Source organism: Homo sapiens, chromosome 17 (assembly GCF_000001405.40).
Source record: "Homo sapiens chromosome 17, GRCh38.p14 Primary Assembly".
Classification (NCBI taxonomy): Eukaryota; Metazoa; Chordata; class Mammalia; order Primates; family Hominidae; genus Homo; species Homo sapiens.
In genome coordinates, this window is record NC_000017.11 from 30,897,567 (window position 1) to 30,918,492 (window position 20,926).

At 44.7% G+C, this 20,926-nt stretch overlaps 1 protein-coding gene across 2 annotated transcripts, besides 4 other annotated features; it reads right to left on the bottom strand.

Annotated features, from left to right (window-relative positions):
- Positions 1-1,419: 1,419 nt before the first annotated feature.
- Positions 1,420-8,672, bottom strand: TEFM (transcription elongation factor, mitochondrial). 2 transcript variants are annotated; one of them, XM_006722084.3, is made up of 4 exons: positions 8,625-8,672; positions 6,500-6,963; positions 2,847-2,996; positions 1,420-2,040 (listed from the first exon to the last, which is right to left on the bottom strand). In XM_006722084.3, the coding sequence occupies exons 2-4, from the start codon at positions 6,647-6,649 to the stop codon at positions 1,603-1,605; spliced, it is 738 nt and encodes a 245-aa protein (XP_006722147.1). In that variant the 5' UTR covers positions 6,650-6,963; positions 8,625-8,672; the 3' UTR covers positions 1,420-1,602. The 2 variants fall into 2 exon arrangements, with proteins under 2 accessions (XP_006722147.1, NP_078959.3); NM_024683.4 differs by having other exon boundaries at positions 8,602-8,672.
- Positions 4,472-4,672: a silencer, noted in NCBI's record as "peak2795 fragment used in MPRA reporter construct". NCBI's record gives its function as "represses an SCP1 promoter by STARR-seq MPRAs in K562 erythroleukemia cells {active_cell/tissue: K562}" and the evidence as "EXISTENCE:reporter gene assay evidence [ECO:0000049][PMID:32103011]".
- Positions 9,162-9,431: an enhancer, noted in NCBI's record as "active region_12002". NCBI's record gives its function as "activates an Ori minimal core promoter by ATAC-STARR-seq in GM12878 lymphoblastoid cells {active_cell/tissue: GM12878}" and the evidence as "EXISTENCE:reporter gene assay evidence [ECO:0000049][PMID:35858748]".
- Positions 9,410-10,210: an enhancer, noted in NCBI's record as "H3K27ac-H3K4me1 hESC enhancer chr17:29233994-29234794 (GRCh37/hg19 assembly coordinates)". NCBI's record gives its function as "activates a minimal SCP1, AML or CMV promoter by ChIP-STARR-seq in primed H9 embryonic stem cells {active_cell/tissue: H9 hESC(primed)}" and the evidence as "EXISTENCE:reporter gene assay evidence [ECO:0000049][PMID:30033119]".
- Positions 14,601-15,100: an enhancer, noted in NCBI's record as "H3K4me1 hESC enhancer chr17:29239185-29239684 (GRCh37/hg19 assembly coordinates)". NCBI's record gives its function as "activates a minimal SCP1, AML or CMV promoter by ChIP-STARR-seq in naive H9 embryonic stem cells {active_cell/tissue: H9 hESC(naive)}" and the evidence as "EXISTENCE:reporter gene assay evidence [ECO:0000049][PMID:30033119]".

Here is a 20,926-nt window from a genome sequence, read left to right on the forward strand (position 1 = left end):
ATTGCAAAGTTAAAAAATGAGCCTGCTGGGCACGGTGGCTCATGCCTGTAATCCCAACACTTTGGGAGGCCGAGGCAGGAGGATCACAAGGTCAGGAGTTCGAGACTAGCCTGGCCAATATAATGAAATCCCGTCTCTACTAAAAATACAAAAATTAGCCGGGCATGGTGGTGCATGCCTGTCTGTAGTCCCAGCTACTTGGGAGGCTGAGACAGGAGAATTGCTTGAACCCAGGAGGCAGAGGTTGTAGTGAGCCGAGATCATGCCACTGTACTCCAGCCTGGGCAACAGAGCCAGACTAGGTCTCCAAAAAAAAAGAAAAGAAAAAAAAAAAGAGCCTATTAGACAAAGCTTGTTTGTTTGTTTTTGGGTAATAAGAGTTGAGCTGATGAAAGTCATCTTTTGGGGCTGGGTATGGTGGCTCACACCAGTAATCCCAGCACTTTGGGAGGCTGAGGCAGGAGGATTGCTTGAGGCCAGGAATTTGAGCCCAGCCTGGGCAACAAGGTAAGACCCTGTCTCTACAAAAAATAAATTAGCCGGGTATGGTGGCATGTGCCTGTAGTCCTAGCTATTCAAGAGATAGAGGCAGGAGGATTGCTTGAGGCCAGGAGGTGCTGCAGTGAACTGTGATTGTGCCATTGCACTCTAGCCTGTGTGACAGAGTGAGACCCTGTCTCAAAAAAAGAAAATCAGCTTTTGGAGGCAGTGTAGCAAACCACATTCTACACACACAATCGTCCTCTAAGAGAGGACGATTCTATAAGCTGTATTATCAGTTATCTTTAGCTTTATTCTTTCTTTTTGAGACGGAGTTTTGCTCTTGTTGCCCTGGCTGGAGTGCAATGGCACGATCTCGGCTCACTGCCACCCAGTTCAAGCGATTCTCCTGTCTCAGCCTCCTGAGTAGCTGGGGCTACAGGCATGCGCCACCACACCCGGCTAATTCTGTATTTTTTTTTTAGTAGAGACAGGGTTTCTCCACTTTGGTCAGGCCAGTCTCAAAACTCCTGACTTCAGGTGATCCACCCGCCTCAGCCTCCCAAAGTGCTGGGATTACAGGCGTGAGCCACCATGCGTGGCCAGCTTTATTCTTATAATAAGTACCACCTAGGAAAACCATTATTCCCTATTTTAACAATATGATAATAATGCAAATGTTTAGTATAGATAGTATTTGCTTTTAAAGGGAGATAACTTTGTTTCTTGTTTTGTCAATTTGGCATCTTACTGTTTCTTTTTTTTAATGAAAAATGTTTAAAAATTATGTGGTCTTGCTATGTTGCCCAGGCTGCTCTTGAGCTCCTGGGCACAAGCAGTCCTCCTGCCTCAGCCTCCCACAGTGCTGGGATTATCGGCATAAGCCACTGCACCAAGCCCCATGTTACTGTTTAACACATTAACCTGAGAGGCACAGAATCTCATAAAATGTTTATTGATTTGGTCTTGGCTTATTGTGTAAACCATTTAATAGCCAAAAGTCAGAATTTAAACATCTAAAATACACTGAAAATGTGTTCTTTTCCAATAACATGGATGTTCACAACAGTTGGTGTTACGTTAGAGCTAATAATTATACTTTAGCACGTTAACCTCAGAATTCTAAGGCTGAGAGTCAAACACTGCTAATTCATAGAAGGCAATAGCTTGTAATAATGAATCATAAAGCTCTTCTACTCTTTGTAGTTCAGTAGATAAAAACATCTGTCTGTAGTGAACTATTTTATCTGATGGGAAGAACACCCGAGGATCCGCCTTCAGTATAGAATCGAAGAGAAACTGCTTCACTAGCTCTTTTCCACTAGTCCGGGAGTCACCAATCATCAGTTCAAAATGCTTCCCCACTGCATTTCGATTCATGCTCAGCACCTGATGCTGCCCATCCTGGGCAAAAGTTTTATTTAATAAGGCATACAGCATGGCTTCCATGATATGAAAATGTAACAGTATTGGAAACAGAGATGAGTTCTGAATGGAAAGTCCTGTTTTTTCCAGAACATAGAAATCTGCTTTAGGCATCTTTGAAATGATCGAGGAAATCTTTTTAAAAAAAGACAAAATAAAGGAACAGAAATAATTCATTACATTTTATGTTTGGTCCCCTCTCTGTCCCACTTCTATTTAAAAATATTATAATTAGTTAATTTATACTATATTGACAATTTTGAAATAACTGAAAAAGCCATTTTATGAGCAGTCTGGTTCTGGTCATGGTTATGTCACAACAACAGCTAAGCTAAGCTGTTTAGTCCTCCTAAGTACCAGTTTCTTGATCTGTACAGTGGACTTCATAATTTCTAAAATATGTATTGGCTTTAAGGTTAGACAACTTAAAACTGTTTTACTAAACCTTCAAACATTTTCTGGGATAGAGCATACGGTTAGAATAACTAGCAAGAATCAATCACCTCTGCAACTGACTAATCACATCAGATGCTTGACTGAACCACAGATTTCATATGTATAATCAAGGTGGTAATTCCTGACCATTAAGGTGATAATTCCTGACCATTTCGCAAGGTTTTGAAAACTCAAATGAGACAATGTGATGGCATTTTGAAAAATAAGCTTTATAAATAAAAGAGTGATAATGTTCTATAACATTTAGAATGAAATACCATTGATTTTCTCAGTATCTGCCTTCGATGCATAAGGCATTTCTTGAACTAACTAAAGGTTGAATTTTTAAAAATCAAAGGTGATGGAAAACATAATAGGAATAAGTGAGTAACAAGTACCAGAAGAAAACCCATCTTTACTATTTTATTACATTCCTTTTGGGACCAGAAGATTAAACTACACAAGGAGCTCTAGCAGGTAGGAATCTGGAGGTGCAACTGCCTTACCTCTTCTAAATAGACTGATGATGAGTATATTCCTCTCATTAAACTCCAACGGTCACTTTGCTGCCAGTCCAGCACTGTCAACTTACGATCAAGGTGAGCCCAGGCAATTCTTCGAGTACCAAAAACGATAGATATGATACTATTAACTGCCTAAAAGAAAAGACTGATTTAATTAGAAGTATAAACATTTTAGTTTTTTCTTTTTTTGAGACGGAGTCTCGCTCTGTCTCCCAGGCTGGAGTGCAGTGGCGCGATCTCAACTCACTACAAGCTCCACCTTCTGGGTTCATGCCATTCTCCTGCCTCAGCCTCCCGACTAGCTGGGACTACAGGCGCCCGCCACCACGCCCGGCTAATTTTTTTATTTTTTTTTTTAGTAGAGATGGGGTTTTACTGTGTTAGCCAGGATAGTCTCGATCTCCTGATCTCATGATCCACCTGCCTTGACCTCCCAAAGAGCTAGGATTACAGGCATGAGCCACCGTGCCTGGCCAGAAGTGTAAATATTTTAGATGCAAACATAATCTACAAATTCAGAATGCCTAACTAGTTTATGTAATATAAACTTATTTATAGTTTATGAACTGAGAATTATTAAAGAAATGCAGGAGTAATTATTATTTTGTTTGAGATGGAGTCTCGTTCTGTCACCCAGGCTAGAGTGCAGTGGCGCAATCAGCTCACTGCAACATCCACCTCCCAGATTCAAGCAATCCTTCTGCCTCAGCTTCCTGAGTAGCTGGGATTACAGGTACCTGCCACCACACCCAGCTAATTTTTGTATGTTTAGTAGAGACAGGGTTTCACCATGTTGGCCAGGCTGGTCTTGAGCTCCTGACCTCAAGTGATCCACCTGCCTCTGCCTCCCAAAGTGCTGGGATTACAGGTGTGAGCCACCAAGGAGTAATTATTATTAAAAGGTAACCAGCAGCAGTCAGTTTATAGATAAAGGACCTATACTCATTCTCAGCACCTTGCCCAAAGTAGGCATTCAAACTCAAGTGTAGCCAAGGTCTGCACTAGATACTAGGAAACAACAAACGTAACTGTACATTATAAGAAATGCCACCATAAAACTATTGTAGAGAGAAGTGGTCAGGGAAGGTTTACTGGAGGACTAGGAGAATGAGACAGTAAATGGGAAGTTATTTCACCCAGATGTCTGGAAAGATAGGCTGTTTGACATCTCACACTCTGGCAGTAGAATAAAGACTGAATAGGAAAAGGGCAGAGGACAAGGCAGATGTCTATAAAGGTAAGTAACTTGCTTTATCCTGAGTGCTACAGGGGCCACTAAAAAAACAGAATTTTAAGGAATAACATAAGATTTACATTTCAGAAAAATCACTGATGGTGTAAAAGATGGGCTGGAGGGAACTAAAGGTAGGGATCTGTGTTAGGTACCTGTTACAACATGAGAAAGTGTTAAGAATTGAAGACAATGACAGAAGGAAAAGAAACAGATAGTGGGAGCAGAATTAATACATAGGTTTAACGAGGAGTCTAGAATAATTCCAGTTTTATATCAGTGACTGAATGGCATCATTAATGATGACGAAGATAGGAGTCACATGACCTAGGGAAGGTGGGAAGAAATTTTTTTGTTTTGTTTTGGTTTGTTTTTAATGCATTAAGTTTGGGTTGCCTATAGGGCTTCTAAGAGGAGATATATAATAAGTAATTGAATATTTAGATTTTGCTTCCTATCAAGTCTGGGCTGACGATGAAGTACAATGCTATCACCTTTCCCCAACATGGCTCACTTAGTTATATTAACAAACTAATATGTTCTATAGATACAGAGGCAAATAAACAGGAACAATTAGTTGTATACCCATCTCCCTTTCATTGCTAAGGACTGGATAAATATCTTAAAGACAAAATAGTATAGATGCCCAAAATACAGACTTCCTTTTGGTTTTCTTTAGCTAAGTGACTCTCAAGCTTTACTGTGCACAAGCATTACTGAACCAGACTACACACAATACTTCGTCGGCAATCGATTTTTTCTTAAAGGATTTTACTGCATGACTTATATCTCCATAAAAACTGACTTAAAATCCAGCCCCCTAAATAAGATGCAACTCCACTCTAATCTGGGTATAAATAGTTTTGGCCATGAATCTGGATGAGAATCCTCCCTGAAGAATTTGGTTAAAATATGTTCCAGATCAATTGCAGCAGTTCTACTTGGAGTCCATGAGTGGACTTAACAGAATCTGCCAGTCCTCTGAAACTGTGTAGTATTCTGTGTATATGTGCTATATCTTTTTCTATGGGAAGAGGGTCCACAGCTTTCATCAGGTTTTCAAAAGTACCCATATTCCTCAAAAAACGGACCCACTGGTCCAGAAAAAAAATGGTGCTTATGATTTTTATGAGATAATGATTATCAAGCAATGTTACACAGGACATGAGTTCCTCTAAAGTTTAATACTTGAGTGCTGTGGCCGGGCGCAGTGTCTCACACCTGTAATCTCAGCACTTCGGGAGCCCGAGGCAGGTGGATCACGAGGTCAACAGATCAAGACCATCCTGGCGCCAACATGGTAAAACCTCATCTCTACTAAAAATACAAAAATTAGCTGGGCGTGGTGGCATGTGCCTGTAGTTTCAGCTACTCAGGAGGCTGAGGCAGGAGAATCGCTTGAACCTGGGAGGTGGAGGTTGTTGTGAGATCATGCCACTGTACTCCAGCCTGGCGACAGCACAAGACTCTGTCTCAAAAAAAAAAAAAAAAAAAAAATTGGCTGTGTCAAATATTTCTAGTATTTATTTTTTTAAGACAATAGAAAAAGAATTGCTTTTAGAATGGTGTTTTTTTTTTTTTTTTGAGACAGAGTCTTGCTCTGTAGCCAGGCTGGAGTGCACTGGCGTGATGTCAGCTCACTGCAACCTCTGCCTCCCAGGTTCAAGAGATTCTCCTGCCTCAGCCTCCCGAGTAGCTGGGACTACAGGCCCACGCCACCATGCCCAGCTAAATTTTGTATTTTTAGTAGAGATGGGCTTTCACCACATTGGCCAGGATTGTCTGGATCTCTTGACCTTGTGATCCGCCCGCTTTGGCCTCCCAAAGTGCTGGGATTACAGGTGTGAGCCAGCCGCTTTTTTTTTTTTTTTTTAATCTTACCTATAGACTTGCATGATTCAAGATAAAATGCTTTTTAAAGGAGAAAAGGTACAGAAAATAATTTTAAATTCTGCCGGAAAGACTGGTATAATGTTCTAAAGTCACTCACTGGCCATAACCTATCTTTGCTCCTTAATTTCTCATTAATCCTAACATCACCCTTAGACACAGCCTGGTATCTCCAACGACACTCCTCTTAAATAAGCCTTGCCTAGACCTGCTTCTCAGCATCAACTGTTCTTTCTACCTACAATGCCCTCCTCTCCCATCCAAAGGATCTCTCTTTTAAGACCTAAATTGAGTTCTTCCAGTAAACTTTCCACAACAGTCACAGCCCATTGTTTTCTCTCCTCTCAACTGCCAATTTACTATCTGTACATCTCATTATTTGGTAGTGATCATATACTTGCCAACTAAACCTGAAGAACCCTGTCTTAGCCACTTCCCAACCCAATGCCCAGAAGAGTGCTTTCTAGAGTAGGTTCTCAAATATTAGGCAGTATAGCAGACATGAAGAATATACCTTAAGTCTTTCTCTTTCTATGTCTGGTTTGAGGAGCTTTCTCAGGAACCGGTTTTCCGGTGACTTTCTTTTTTCCCGTCCAGTCTTTGGACAAAGTATGGAGTTACAAACTTGAACTGTACTTTTATACTTAAACAAGGGCACATTCATTAAACTCTCTAAATTCTGAAATGGCCCAAAGTTTTCTCTGTGCTCTACGATATTGATGGACCTTCTTCCACGAAGCAATCGGAAAGCTTCAAGTTCTTTAGTAGATGCTGTATTCAACACATGCAAGATGGAAGCCTGCTGTTCTGAAGAGAAGAGCTTGTCAAGTGCATTTTCGGGCTCCTTTGCATTTTCATCACAAAAAGTAACATTGGGAGTAATTTTCTTAGGTGTAGTGGATTTTTTCCGACAGCAGAAATTATGTAAGGCCCAGTACAGGGATGACCTCGACGGGGTCAGAAAGCATCTCCACCTCTCTAAAAGGAAAATTTAGCAAAATATAAGTTGGATGTCCTACTTCCTTTGGGGTTAGTTGCAAGCTTGACTAGATCCTTTGCAAAGTCACAAATACTTTCCTGGAATTTAAGAACTAATAGAGGACAATATTAAATTGTCTTGGAGAATCATCTTTTTTTTTTTTTTTTGAGACGGAGTCTTGCTCTGTTGCCCAGGCTGGAGTGCAGTGGCCGATCTCGGCTCACTGCAAGCTCCGCCTCCCAGGTTCACGCCATTCTCCTGCCTCAGCCTCCCAGGTGGCTGGGACTACAGGCGCCTGCCACCACGCCCGGCTAATTTTTTGTATATTTAGTAGAGACGGGGTTTCACAGTGTTAGCCAGGATGGTCTCCATCTCCTGACCTCGTGATCCGCCCACCTCAGCCTCCCAAAGTGCTGGGATTACAGGCGTGAGCCACTGTGCCCGGCCCGAGAATCATCTTTAAAAGAGGATTAGTTTTTAAACTATATTATATAGAGTTTTAAATAGAGCTTTTGTTGTTTTCAAGTCACGAGAGATGTCTCCCGATATTTATGGATCAGTCCGAAGTTTTACTACCTAGAAAATTGTATTTTATACCCATCAGGAAGCAAGTAGTTGAAATAATTATTCCAACTGCTTAAAGTTTCTGATATTTTTAATTTAGAGGAATCTTTTTGTAACTAATATTTCCTGTTAAGGTTTGTCTTAGGCCGGGCGCGGTGACTCACGCTTATAATCCCAGCACTTTGGGAGGCCGAGGTGGGCGGATCACCTGAGGTCGGGAGTTCGAGACCAGCCTGACCAACATGGAGAAACCCTGTCTCTACTAATAATACAAAATTAGCCGGGCGTGGTGGCACATGCCTGTAATCCCAGCTACTCGGGAGGCTGAGGCAGGAGAATCGCTTGAGCCCGGAAGGCGGAGGTTGCGGTGAGCCGAGATCGCACCATTGCACTCCAGTCTCGGCAACAAGAGCGAAACTCCGTCTCAAAAAAAAAAAAAAAAGGGTTTTGTCTTCACTTCCATTTTCACATTTTAGTATCTCATCTGGTGGAACTAAATAAAATTAAATTTTGTACGTTTATAAGAAATGTTTCAGCTAAGTGATAGATTTAAGGGCAGTTTTACTTTCTTCCGTACACTTTTCAAGACTTCTACATGACGTTTTTGCAAGTATGAGAAACACCATACAATGCATAACTTTGTAAAACCAGTGGGAAGTCACTCTAACATCGCAGCCACAGGAAAGTAATGTGGCCAGAGGTAAGCAAGCGGCTGTGAGAATGTGAACCATCCGCCCACTCTGAGGAGCCACCCGTGGACCCTGAGGCCGGGGAAGCACAAATGTTCCGAAAACTGCCCCGTCAGCTAGGCTGGGGCCCCAAGAGAGGGGCCTGAACAAGGGACATGAGGAAGGAAACACTCTAGGACATGAGGGACATGAGGAAGGAAACACTCCAGGTTCCTCCAGAATACCTCCAGCCGTATTCCATTAGCCTCTAGGGTCAGAGGCTAATGACAGACGGGAAATCACCCCAGTGTTCCAAGCACCCTACCTCCCGCCGTATTCCATTAGCCTCTAGGGTCAGAGGCTAATGACAGACGGGAAATCACCCCAGTGTTCCAAGCACCCTACCTCCCGCCGTGAAGAGGACAGACCCGCTCATCTCCAAGTTGAATCAGTAGGTCCAGTCTTCCTCCATTGACTTCCGGTTCCTGCGTGCTGCGCCCAAAAGCGCTCGGCCTGCACTCGGCGGAAAGGTTGTTGTCCAAGCGGCGTTCCGGGGCAAGGCCCGAGGTGTGTCCCGCTGAGCAGTGGGTCGTCCGCGTCTGGGCTGCGGGCTTCCAGGCGGGCGCCTGCCGAGGCCCTGTCCCCGGATCCCGAGTCCCTGGCTGGCCCGCAGTCTTCTTCCACTGCACCGGGGAAACGTTCTTGCCCCTACCGACTCCTGAGAGCCGCTGGGCCGAATCTCCAGGAAGGCGATTCCGAGGCCAGTTTTAGTCTGTAGTGGGTAAAGTGCCTCCTTCGTGGAGACTCCCTGGGTTTCTCCTAGACACTTAGATTGAGGAGCTCCTGTTGGGGCCCAGCCTGTGGCGCCGGGAGCGGGATCAGGTAGGGGCAGCGTAGACAAGGTCCTCAAATAACCTTTTCACCAGGTAGACTGGAATAACGGGGAGAGATGCGAAGTGTTTGAGGAGCTCAGCGGGGAAACAGGGCAGGCAAGGGATTAGGTAAAGGCGAGGGAGGAGGAGATTGCGTTGGCGCTGGAGCGGTATTCCTCTTAGAAGGGATAAAGGGAGATGAATGTAGCGCCGAATTTAGTTGGTCCTTGAATAATGGGTGGAGCAGTTGAATACTCCACCAGATAGGAAGCCTGAAGTCCCCGAGGTTTATGATTTGCAGTCAGACTGGAGAGTGTTCCTAGAAAATTGGCCATATACTGTATAGCGAATGTGAGGCTGGATTGCAGGTGAAGAGCCTGGGAGCAATGAGAAGTCGCGAAGAGAGTGTATCTTCCCAGGTGAGAGGCAAGCGTAAGGAATTTTTTTTTTAACAGTCTTGCTCTGTCGCCCAGGTTGGAGTGCAGTGGTGCGATCTGGACTCACTGCAAACTCCGCCTCCCGATTTCAAGTGATTCTCGTGCCTCAGCCTCCCGAGTAGCTGAGATTACAGGCGAGCGCCACTACGCCCGGCTAATTTTTGTATTTTTAGTAGAGACAGGTGTCACCATGTTGGCCAGGCTGGTCTCGAACTCCTGACCTCAGGTGATCCGCCCGACTCGGCCTCCCAAAGTGCTGGGATTACAGGCGTGGGCCACTGCGCCTGGCCAACCGTAAGGAATTGAACCTAGGAGATGTAAGGAGAGTGGAAAGAAAAGAATTATTTCTGGAAGATGGGGAGCCAGTTTTGTGAAAAACGGGGAATTCAGGAGGGAGGGAAAGGTGATGAGTTTGCGTTTTTATGAGGCAGCAATGGGTTGATTGTTTGTGTCTGGAAGGCAGTGGGGATGTAGGGGAATCATAAGTATTAATAAAATGTGCTGGTCGGGAGCAGTGGCTCCCAAAGTGTAATTCCAGCACTTTGGGAGGCCGAGACGGGCGGATCGCTTGAGCTCTTGAGTTCCAGACCACCCTGGGCAACATGGCGAAACCCCGTCTCTACGAAAAAATTAGCCGGGTGTGGTGGAGCACGCCTGTTATCCCAGCTACTCAGGAGGCTGAGGTGGGAGAATCACCTGAGCCCGGGAGGTAGAGGTTGCAGTGAGTGGAGATCGTGTCACCACACTCCAGCGTGGGGGACAGAGCCAGACCTTGTCTCAAAAAAAGAAAAAAAATTGCTCATAGGAAGTCTAGAAACCTTGGCAGTTTCTGGGGAACTTAGGAATCTAACAAGAAATAACATCAACTTTTTTCTGCAAAATCCTCCAAATCAGGAGGAAATAATTTCCTCAACTGTAGGGCTTATTCAGTTTACTGAGATGTTATGATTGAATTGCATCCCTCAAAACAGATTTGTTGAAGTCCTAACCCCCAGTACCTTATTATTTCCAAATAAGGTCATTGTAGATGTAACTAATTAAAATGAGGACAGGAAGGCCGGCACGGTGGCTCACGCCTGTAATCCCAGCGCTTTGGGAGGCCGAGGAGGGGGGATTACGAGGTCAGGAGATCGAGACCATCCTGGATAACACGGTGAAACCCCGTCTCTACTAAAAAATACAAAAAATTAGCCGGGCGTGGTGGCGGGCGCCTGTAGTCCCAGCTACTCAGGAGGCTGAGGTAGGAGAATGGCGTGAACCCGGGAGGCAGAGCTTGCAGCGAGCTGAGATGGCACCACTGCACTCCAGCCTGGGCGACAGAGCGAGACTCTGTCTCAAAAAAATAAGTAAATAAATAAAATAAAATGAGGACACGCTGGACTGGGGCAGGGACTAATCCAACATGGCTGCTGTTCTTATGAGAAGATGACTCTGTGAATGCCATGTGAAGATGGAAGCGGAGATTGGAATGATGCTTTCTACAAACCCAGAAAGGCCAAGGGTTGCCAATAGTCACTAGAAACTAGGAGAGAGGCATGGGCCAGAGTCCCCTTAGAGCCCTTTGAAGGAACAAGCCCGGATAACACCTTGATTTTGGGCTTCCAGCCTCCTGAACTGGAGAGAATAAATGACCAGTTTGTGGTCATTTGTTACAGCAGCCCTAAGAAACTAATACAAGAGGCCATAAGGATTCCTGGTGTTGCTTTCAGAGATGGTCTGGTTCGCTAGCAAGACACAGTTTATCACTTAGTAACTGCATCACCATAGTCAGTTTCTTATCCTCTCTGAACCTCACCTTCCTCATTTGTAAAACGGAGTTAATGGTACCTACCTCACAGGGCTGCTTGGAGGATGCATGAGAAACTGGATGCAAAGAACCCAGCATAAGATAAGAGTTCAATCAATGTGGTTTTGCCCAGTAAAGCATCCCCCCTCTTCCTGAGAAATGATTATGAATGACCTATAGGGGAATCACCCTCCTTCCTGAAAGCATTTATTCAGAAATATGCTTTGACCAGAGCCAGAAATACAAAGGAAAGAGATAAGTATTGCCTGATTTACTGTAAACCAGAATTGATGCCTCCAAAATGAAAGTCACCGTCTTCCCCCAAAAACTAGCTCCTTCTCACTTCCCTGTTTTTGTCACCCAGATGCAGGTGTCTCTGGCTCTTTCTACTCCTTCCATCATTATGTCTAGCCTGTTATCTAGTTTCTGTGTTTTTAAAACTTTTGACTGATCCAGGATACATGTGTGATACAAAAGTTTCATTAAAAAAAAAAAAAGGCCAGGTGTGGTGGTTCAACACTTGTAATACCAGCACTTTGGGAGAGCAAGGCAGGCAGATTCATTGAGCCCAGGAGTTTACGACCAGCCTGGGCAACATGGCAAGACCCCATCTTTACCAAAAATACCAAAAAAAATTAGCTGGGCATAGTGGTATGCGCCTGTAGTTCCAGCTACTTGGGAGGCTGAGGTGGGAGAATCCCTTGAGCCTGGGAGGTGGAGGTCGTAGTGAGCAGAGATTGCACCACTGTACTCAAGCCTGGGTGGCAGAGTGAGACCCTGACTAAATGAAAAACAAAAACAACCATTGTATTTTTGCATGTGATACAACCTGATATTTTCTATTTCCTTCTTTTTTTTTTAAGTTAGGAGTGCAAAAGGTTTATTGAAAAAAACAAAAACAAACTAAAATCTGTTTTGAAGCCTGCAGGACATTAGAGGGTGATGTCCAATAGATAGAGATGCACATCTGAAGCTAAGGAGGAGCACTGAGCTGGGGTGTATGTTTGGAGGCCGTCAGCCTGTAGAGATGGTACTTTACTCATGAGAACAGATACGAGGAGCCAGGGAGAGGGGGTAGGCGTGAGAAAAGCACAGTGAGATAAGGAGAGAACTCCTTGGGAGCACCACCATTAGATGTGGTTAGAGGATTCCGATTCCCAAGAAGATTGAGAAACAATGTTCACATTTAAAAGGAAACAGGAGGCTGGGCACTGTGGCTCACGCCTGTAATCCCAGCACTTTGGGAGGCCAAGGCAGGCAGATCACCTGAGGTCAGAAGTTCGAGACCAGCTTGGCCAACATGGTGAAACCCCATCTCTACTGAAAATACAAAAATTAGCCGGGCGTGGTGGTGGGCGCCTGTAATCACAGCTACTTGGGAGGCTGAGGCAGGAGAATGGCCTGAACCTGGAGGCAGAGGTTGCAGTGAGCCGAGATTGCACCACTGCATTCCAGCCTGGGCGATAAGAGAGAGACTCCGTCTCAAAGAAAACCAAAAAACAAAAAACACCACATTGCAATACCACTACACACCCATGAGAATACCTACTGGAAATCTCATACATTGCTGATGGAAGTGTGGGTTGGTTGAATCACTTTGAAAAGCTGGCAATATCTACTAAAGCTGAAGATTTGTATATCCTATGGTCCTGCAGTCCAACCCCGGGTGTATATCCAACAGAATGCAAACAAATGTGCACTAAAGGACATGCAACTAATGGAGCTATATGTATAAAATTGCCAGTATTTGCCAGTTGTCTATTTGCAAAAATGGCAATTTCACATGGTTAAACCTGATTACAAGAATGCTCATAGCAGCACTATTTGTATTAGCCAAAACCTCAATGGCAGATTATTGTGTATATATTGAATAAACGTTTCACCCAGTAACATGGGTAAATCCCACAAATATGATGTTGAATGAAAGAAGCCACACAGCTATATATAAAGTACAAAAACAAGCCGGGTGCGGTGGCTCACGCCTGTAATCCTAGCACTTTGGGAGGCCAAGGCAGGCAGATTGCCTGAGCTCAGGAGTTCAAGATCAGCCTGGGCAACATGGTGAAACCTGGACTCTACTAAAAATACAAAAAATTAGCCAGGTGTGGTGGCAGGAGCCTGTAGTCCCAGCTACTCGGGAGGCTGAGGCACAAGAATTGCTTGAACCCAGGAGGTGGAGGTTGCAGTGAGCCGAGATTGAGATCGTGCCACTGCACTCCAGCCCAGGCAAAAAAGTGAGACTGTCTCCGGGAAAAAAAACAGACTAAACTAATCTATCATGATAAACATGAGATTACCTTTGGGACTAGTCACTAAAGAGAGAATGGGAATGTTTTGGGATGCTGATTATCCTCTTTTTTAAAAAAGCTCTATATGCTAGTTAAACACGTGTGTGCACTTTGTAAAATTCATTAAGCTGCATACTTGTGATTTGTGCACTTTTCTGTATTTGTTATACTTCAGCAAAATATTACTTAAAAGTTTAATTCTTGGATGGGCATGTTGGCTCACGCCTGTAATCCTTACACTTTGGGAGGCTGAGGTGGGAAAATTGCTTGAGACCAGGAGTTTGAGACCAGCCTGGGCAACATTGTGAGACATCGTCTCTATGGAAAAATCTAAAAATAGCCAGGTGTGGGCTGGGCACGGTGGCTCACACCTGTAATCCCAGCACTTTGGGAGGCCAAGGCGGGCGGATCGCGAGGTCAGGAGATCGAGACCATCCTGGCTAACACGGTGAAACCTCGTCTCTATTAAAAATACAACAAATTAGCCAGGCGTGGTGGCAGGCGCCTGTAGTCCCAGCTACTCAGGAGGCTGAGGCAGGAGAATGGCGTGGAGCGGGGAGGCAGAGCTTTCAGTGAAACGAGATTGTGCCACTGTACTCCAGCCTGGGCGATAAGAGCGAGACTCCGTCTCAAAAAAAAAAAAAAAAAAAAAAGAAAGCCAGGTGTGGTAGCACATGCCTGTAGTCCTACCTACTAGGGAGGCTGAGGTGAGAAGATACTTAAGCCCAGGATTTTTTTTTTTTTTTTTTTTGAGACGGAGTCTCGCTTTGTAGCCCAGGCTGGAGTGCAGTGGCGCGAACTCGGCTCACTGCAAGCTCCGCCTCCCGGGTTCACGCCATTCTCCTGCCTCAGCCTCCCGAGTAGCTGGGACTACAGGCACCAGCTACCACGCCCGGATAATTTTTTTTGTATTTAGTAGAGACGGGGTTTCACCGTATTAGCCAGGATGGTCTCGATCTCCTGACCTTGCGATCTGCGCGCCTCGGCCTCCCAAAGTGCCGGGATTACAGGCGTGAGCCACCGCGCCCGGCCAAGCCCAGGATTTGAGGTTATAGTGAGCCATGACTATGCCACTGCACTCCAGCCTGGGCGACAGAGTGAGACCCTGTTTCCAAACATAAAAAATAGAAAAGTTGTCTGGGGCTTGGTGCAGAGGGTAATGCCTGTAATCCCAGCACTTTGGGAGGCCGAGGCAGGCGGATCATTTGAGGCCAGGGTTTGAGACCAACCTGGCCAACATGGCGAAACCCCGTCTCTACTAAAAATACAAAAATTAGCCAGGCATGGTGGTGCTCGCCTGTAGTCCCAGCTACTCAGGAGGCTGAGGTGGGAGGATTGCTTGAGCCCGGGAGATGGAGGCTGTAGTGAGCTGAGACTGCGTCACTGCACTCCAGCCTGGGCAACGGAGCAAGACCCTATCTCAAAAAAATAAAAATAAAATAAAATAAAAAATAAAAAAGTTGAAGTCTTCAAATTATTTTGAATTAGATTTGTATCATATAAGGTTTGAATGTTTATTTAGTGACATAGTCTACTTTATTTAGTCCTCAAAGTCATTCATCACCTTATATACAGACTCCCGAGAAAAGGGCTGCTGATCCTTGAATAGATCATTCAGGGTAGCGAGCACGTGATGTATTTCTCTGAGTGCTCCACCCCCAACTCTCAGGGATATTTTGTAAAGGAAAGATAATTGTCCTACTAATCTTCGTCTCGGTAAAGTTTTGGATTTTTTTCCTGCTTTTATGTTACATTTTATTATTATTTTTTCAGTATTATACACAACTAAAATGATTAGGCAAATGATCAAAATAAAACACAGCACTCACAATTTGAGACCCAGAATCAGAAAACTTGGCTCATGCTCCAATATTGCTACATATTTCCTATGTATCTCAGTTTATTTCTATAAGAATAGTTTTCTCTTTTGCAAGACAAAATTCAAAGTACCCCTCTTACAAGGTTGTTACTGAAATAAAATGATGTAAAATAGAAAGTCTTATACAATGAGAGGTTTTTTTTTTTTTGACACAGAGTCTCGCTCTTGTCACCCAGGCTGGAGTGCAGTGATGCCATCTCAGCTCACTGCAACCTCTGCCTCCCAGGTTCAAACGATTCTCCTGCCTCAGCCTCCCGAGTAGCTGGGACTACAGGCACCTGCCACAGTGCCCTGGCTAATTTTTGTATTTTTAGTAGAGAAGGGGTTTTACAATATTGGCCAGGCTGGTCTTGAACTCCTGACCTTGTGATCCGCCCGCCTCGGCCTCCCAAAGTGCTGGGATTACAAGCATGAGCCACGGCGCCCGGCCAAGAGATATTGTTAATTGGCAAATTGATTCTATATATTAAAATGAGGTGTGATTGGCCAGGTGCGGTGGTTTATGCCCGTAATCCCAGTACTTCGGGAGGCTGAGGTGTGCGCATCACCTGAGGTCAGGAGTTCGAGACCAGCCTGGCCAACATGGTGAAACCCTGTCTCTACTAAAAATACAAAAATAAGCCAGGCATGGTGGTGCACTCCTGCAATTCCAGCTACTTGGGAGGCTGAGGCAGGAGAATTGCTTGAACCCGGGAGGCGGTGGTTGCAGTGAGCTGAGATCACGCCATTGCACTCCAGCCTTGACCCCAGAGCGAGACTTTGTCTAAAAAAAAAAAAAAAAAAAAAGAAAAGGTGTGATTGTCTAAGAGGAAAATACCCAGATGCTTGGTAAGACAATCCCTTATATGATTTATTTTAGGTATAACTAAAGAAAATAGAACTTTTGGATTTTGGGTTTTTATTTTTATTTACTTATTTATTTTTAATAGAAACAGAGTTTTGCCATGTTGACCAGGCTGGTCTGGAACTCCTGGGATCAAGAGGTCCTCCCTCCCTGGTCTCCCAAAGTGCTGAGATTACAGGTATGAGCCACCATGCCCAGCCAAACTTTTGGATTTTTAAACCCAGTTTTAAAACTCAAGTTCCATAAAGGAGCACCCCAGTGTTCCAATCCAGTTTACAACAGGTGTCACTCTAACCCCTTCAATTATAGTTGTGCCTAAACCTCTATAACTAACTTCTCATTTAGTGTTGCAGGTAATGATGTAAAATGCAAACAATTATCTTGGGTCTATTTAGGACCTCTTTTCTGGCTCTTCAGTTTTCACAAATGGATACTTCATCTCTCTGGATCTCTATTGGATCATTGCATTTTATTCAGAATGCAAACTCCTACAAACTCCTGGACTACCTGTGTAATGGGGGTCTCAATTCCACTCAGTTCACCACCATTTTAAAACATTGTTGCAAAATCCACATAACAAAAAATTCATAATTTTAGGGTTCAATTCAGTGACATTTAGTACATTCACAATGTTGTGCACCTATCACCATTATCTAGTTCCAGACTTTTTTTTTTTTTTTTTTTGAGACAGGGTCTCACTCAGTCGCCCAAGCTGGAGTACAGTGGCACGATCTCGGCTCCTAGCCTCCACCTCCTGGGTACAAGCGATTCTCCTGCTTCAGCCACCCGAGTAGCTGGGATTACAGGCGTGCGCTACCATGCCTTGCTAATTTTTGTGTTTTTAGTAGAGACGGGGTTTCACCACATTGGCCAGGCTGGTCTCAAACTCCTGAGCTCAAGCAATCTGCCTGCCTCGGCCTCCCAAAGTGTTGGGATTACAGGCGTGAGCCACCACGCCCAGCCCTGGTTCCAGAACATTTTTAACACCCTAAAAGGAAACCTTACCCATTAAGCTGTCTCTTCCCAGTCCCTCTGCCCCCAAGCCCACTCCCTCCAGCTCCTGGCAACCGCTAATCTGCTTTCTGTCTCTATGGATTTGTCTGTTCTGGACATTTCATAAAACTGGATCAACCAAAATTTTTCAGGCCCAGCATTTGCTAGGCACCAAGGATACAAAGATCAATATGACAATCTGCTCTTAACCAAATCACGCTGACTGGGACAAAACAAGTTAAAAAAAAACAACCATAGTCCAACGTGATGACTATTGTAATGGAAATATGAACATTTTGGGAACATAGTTCAGGGGGATGAGGGTGAGCTGGAAGAAGTCAGATTTCTTTGAGGAGTCTCGCTTTGTCTCCCGGACTGGAGTGCAGTGAAGTAATCTCAGCCCACTGCAACATCCACCTCCCATGTTCAAGCGATTCTCATGCCTCAACCTCCCAAGTAGCTGGGACTACAGACACATGCCACCATGCCCAGCTAATTTTTCTATTCTTGGTAGAGACAGGGTCTTGCAATGTTGGCCAGGCTGGTCTCGAATTTCTGACCTCAGGTGATCAGCCCACTTCGGCCTCCCAAAGTGTTGGGATTACAGGCGTGAGCCACTGCACCTGGTCAAAAGTAAGACTTGAATTTAGGCATGGAGGCAGGAGTTTGCTCCACCAACCAATGGAGGCTGGGCTGGATGATGTTGTAGAGGAGAGAGCTGGGGTAGGAGAAGGGGCAGCATGAGCGAGATACAATGGCATGGAGTTGGATAGCTCTGTGTTCAAAGGATGTGGACAGATCACACACCAAGCACATCCCAGGGCCTTTGCCCAGGTTGTTCTCTTCCCCTAGGACACTCCTCTCTCAAATTGCTGCTGGTTGGCTTGACCCCTTCCTGCAGATCTTAAATGTTAGATCTGAGCTTAAATGTTACCTGCTCAGAGAGGACTTCCTTGACCTCTCTATTGAAATAGCAACTTTCATTCCTCTCTATCCCCTCACTTGTTTCTTTTTCTTTATAGCACGTATCACTCTTGCACTATATTGTATATTTGTTTCTCTGTTCATTTCCTGTCTCCCTAACTTGAAGGTAAGCTCCACAAAGGCAGCTATTTCCCCAGCTATGTGGCCATATCTCAGTACCCATAACAGTATCTGGCACATAGTAGGTGCCCCATAAATAATGAACGAATGAGCAAACCCTGAGGCAGTACTGCAGTGGGGAGTCCCTTTGAGATCTGAGTGGTTCCAGTTGCTGAAGACAAGGTGATATTAAACACACAAATATGTTGGTCAACTCAATCACATTATTTACTCTGCATGGCTCCTTATCAGCTGTTTCACTTGCCTTCAAAAGGAATTATTTGTTTCCTTCAAAAAGGAAAACACTTTGTGATCCCAAGTCCTCTCACTTTATTGATTATTATTTTTTACCGATCCTCATTTCTTTGTTTATTTAGCAAACATTTGTTGAAACCCTGCTATGTGGCATGCAGGTGCTAGGGATACAACAGAGAACACAACTGACCCTGTCCTCATGAAGCATAGAAGTGTGACAGACCAGTAAACCAGCAAGCAATTACAGTAGAGTAGTAGAATATAATGCTTGAAAATACAGTTTTTTGTTTTAGTCTGTTTTGTTTTTTGAGACAAAGTCTCACTCTGTTGCCCAGGCTGGAGTGCAGTGGTGTGATCTCGGCTCACTGCAACCTCTGTCTCCTGGGTTCAAGCGATTCTCCTGCCTCAGCCTCCCGAGTAGCTGGGATTACAGGCACACGCCACCATGCCCAGCTAATTTTCTTTGTATTTTTTTTTTTTTTAGTGGAGACCAGGGTTCGCCATGTTGGCCAGGCTGATCTCAAACTCCTGGCCTCAGGTGATCTGCCTGCCTCAAACTTATGCCTGTAATCCCAGCACTTTGGGAGGCTGAGGCAGGCAGACCACTTGAGGCCAGGAATTCGAGACCAGCCTGACCAACATGGTAAAACCTCATCTCTACTAAAAATACAAAAATTAGCTGGGCGTGGTGGCACATGCCTATAATCCCAGCTACTTGGGAGGCTGAGGAACAAGAATTGCTTGAACCTAGGAGGCAGAGGCTGCGGTGAACCAAGATCGTACCACTGCACTCCAGCCTGCGAGACGGACAGAGGCTGTCTCAAAAAAAAAAAAAAGAAGCATAATGTTAGGTTGAACTTTATGGCATTGCTATTGCCATTTTTGTAAGTCAGTTTCATGTGGTTCAACCTAATATATTGGTGAAAAGAGTCCAAGGCAGACTTGAATTCAAATCCCAGCTTCAGTATGCATGATTCAGTATACAACATCTCAGTTGTGTAACCTTGGACAAATGTACTTACCCTCTCTCTGAGCCACAGTAGTCTCATCTGTAAAATGGGCATAAACATAGTCTGTACCTCAGGGTTATGGCTAAGATTAAATGGAATAATGCATGTAAGGGGTCTGGTGCACTGCAATCCCAGAATAAATGGTGGCCATAATTGTGGGTGGTGGTTTTTTCTTTAGTTACTGTATTTTTCAAATTTCCTGTAATATAGCTTTTTTTAATTCTAAAGCTAATAAACATAATTATTTAATTTTTTTGTTTGTTTTTGTTTTTTGAGATGGAGTCTCATCCTGTCACCTAGGCTGGAGTGCAGTGGCACAATCTTGGTTCACTGCCACCTCCAGCTCCTGGGTTCAAGCAATTCTCCTGCCTCAGCCTCCCGAGTAGCTGGGATTACAGGCACCCACCACCACGCCTAGCTGATATTTGTATTTTTAGTAGAGACGGGGTTTCACCATGTTGGCCATGCTGGTATTGAACTCCTAACCTCAGGTGATCTGCCCGCCTCGGCTTCCCAAAGTGCTGGGATTACAGGTGTGAACCACTGTGCCCAGCCAATTATTTAATTTTCAAAGGAATTGTGTTCTATGCCCTGAAGATCTTGAGTGGGGACCTTGAGGCTGTTACTGGGAATGTGGTTGAGGGCTTTCTTCCAGCCCTGCTGCAGCTTGGCTTGGCTGGACAAACACAGTGACCTGAGAACAGGGCTAGATGTTTCTTCTTGGTGGGACCCTGGGAGCTTTATTTACAAAGGACATTCTGTCCCACAGCCCAAATTGCTCCCTCACTCCAGCATCTGCTGTATTGACTGAGCCCTTTAGAGAGGCTGCTTTGACCCATCCTGTCCCTCAAACTCTGGGTCACAGTGCTCAGTGTCCACCTTGGTCATGACAGCCTTTGGCATGGTCCTCTTCACTTAGAAGTAGCTTCTGGGTCCTGAGCACAGAAGCTGAGCTCAATTTTCATAATGTCCAGTATCCAGGAGTGGGCTACAGAGTTTTGTTTTATTTTTGAGACAGAGTCTTGCTTTGTTGCCCAGGCTGGAGGGCAGTGGCGTGATTGTGGCTCACTGCAACCGCTGCCTGCTGGACCCAAGCGATCGTTCCACCTCAGCCTACTGAGTAGCTGGGACTACAGGCATGTGCCACCATAGCCAGCTAATTTTGGTAATTTTTGTAGAGACAGGGTTTCACCGTGTTGCCCAGACCGGGGCTACAGTTTCTGTTTAGGTTGATGCAAAAGTTTTGGAAATAAATAGTGGAGGAAATATAGGGTACAGACTTT

Excerpts from the sequence above, each read along its gene's own strand:
- TEFM (NM_024683.4), bottom strand. The coding sequence starts at position 8,632 with ATGAGCGGGTCTGTCCTCTTCACGGCGGGAG. Across the intron at positions 2,997-6,499 it reads TAGAAAGAGAAAGACTTAAG|GCAGTTAATAGTATCATATC; the intron begins GTATATTCTTCA and ends CTTTTCTTTTAG. Across the intron at positions 2,041-2,846 it reads CATCAGTCTATTTAGAAGAG|ATTTCCTCGATCATTTCAAA; the intron begins GTAAGGCAGTTG and ends TTTTTTAAAAAG.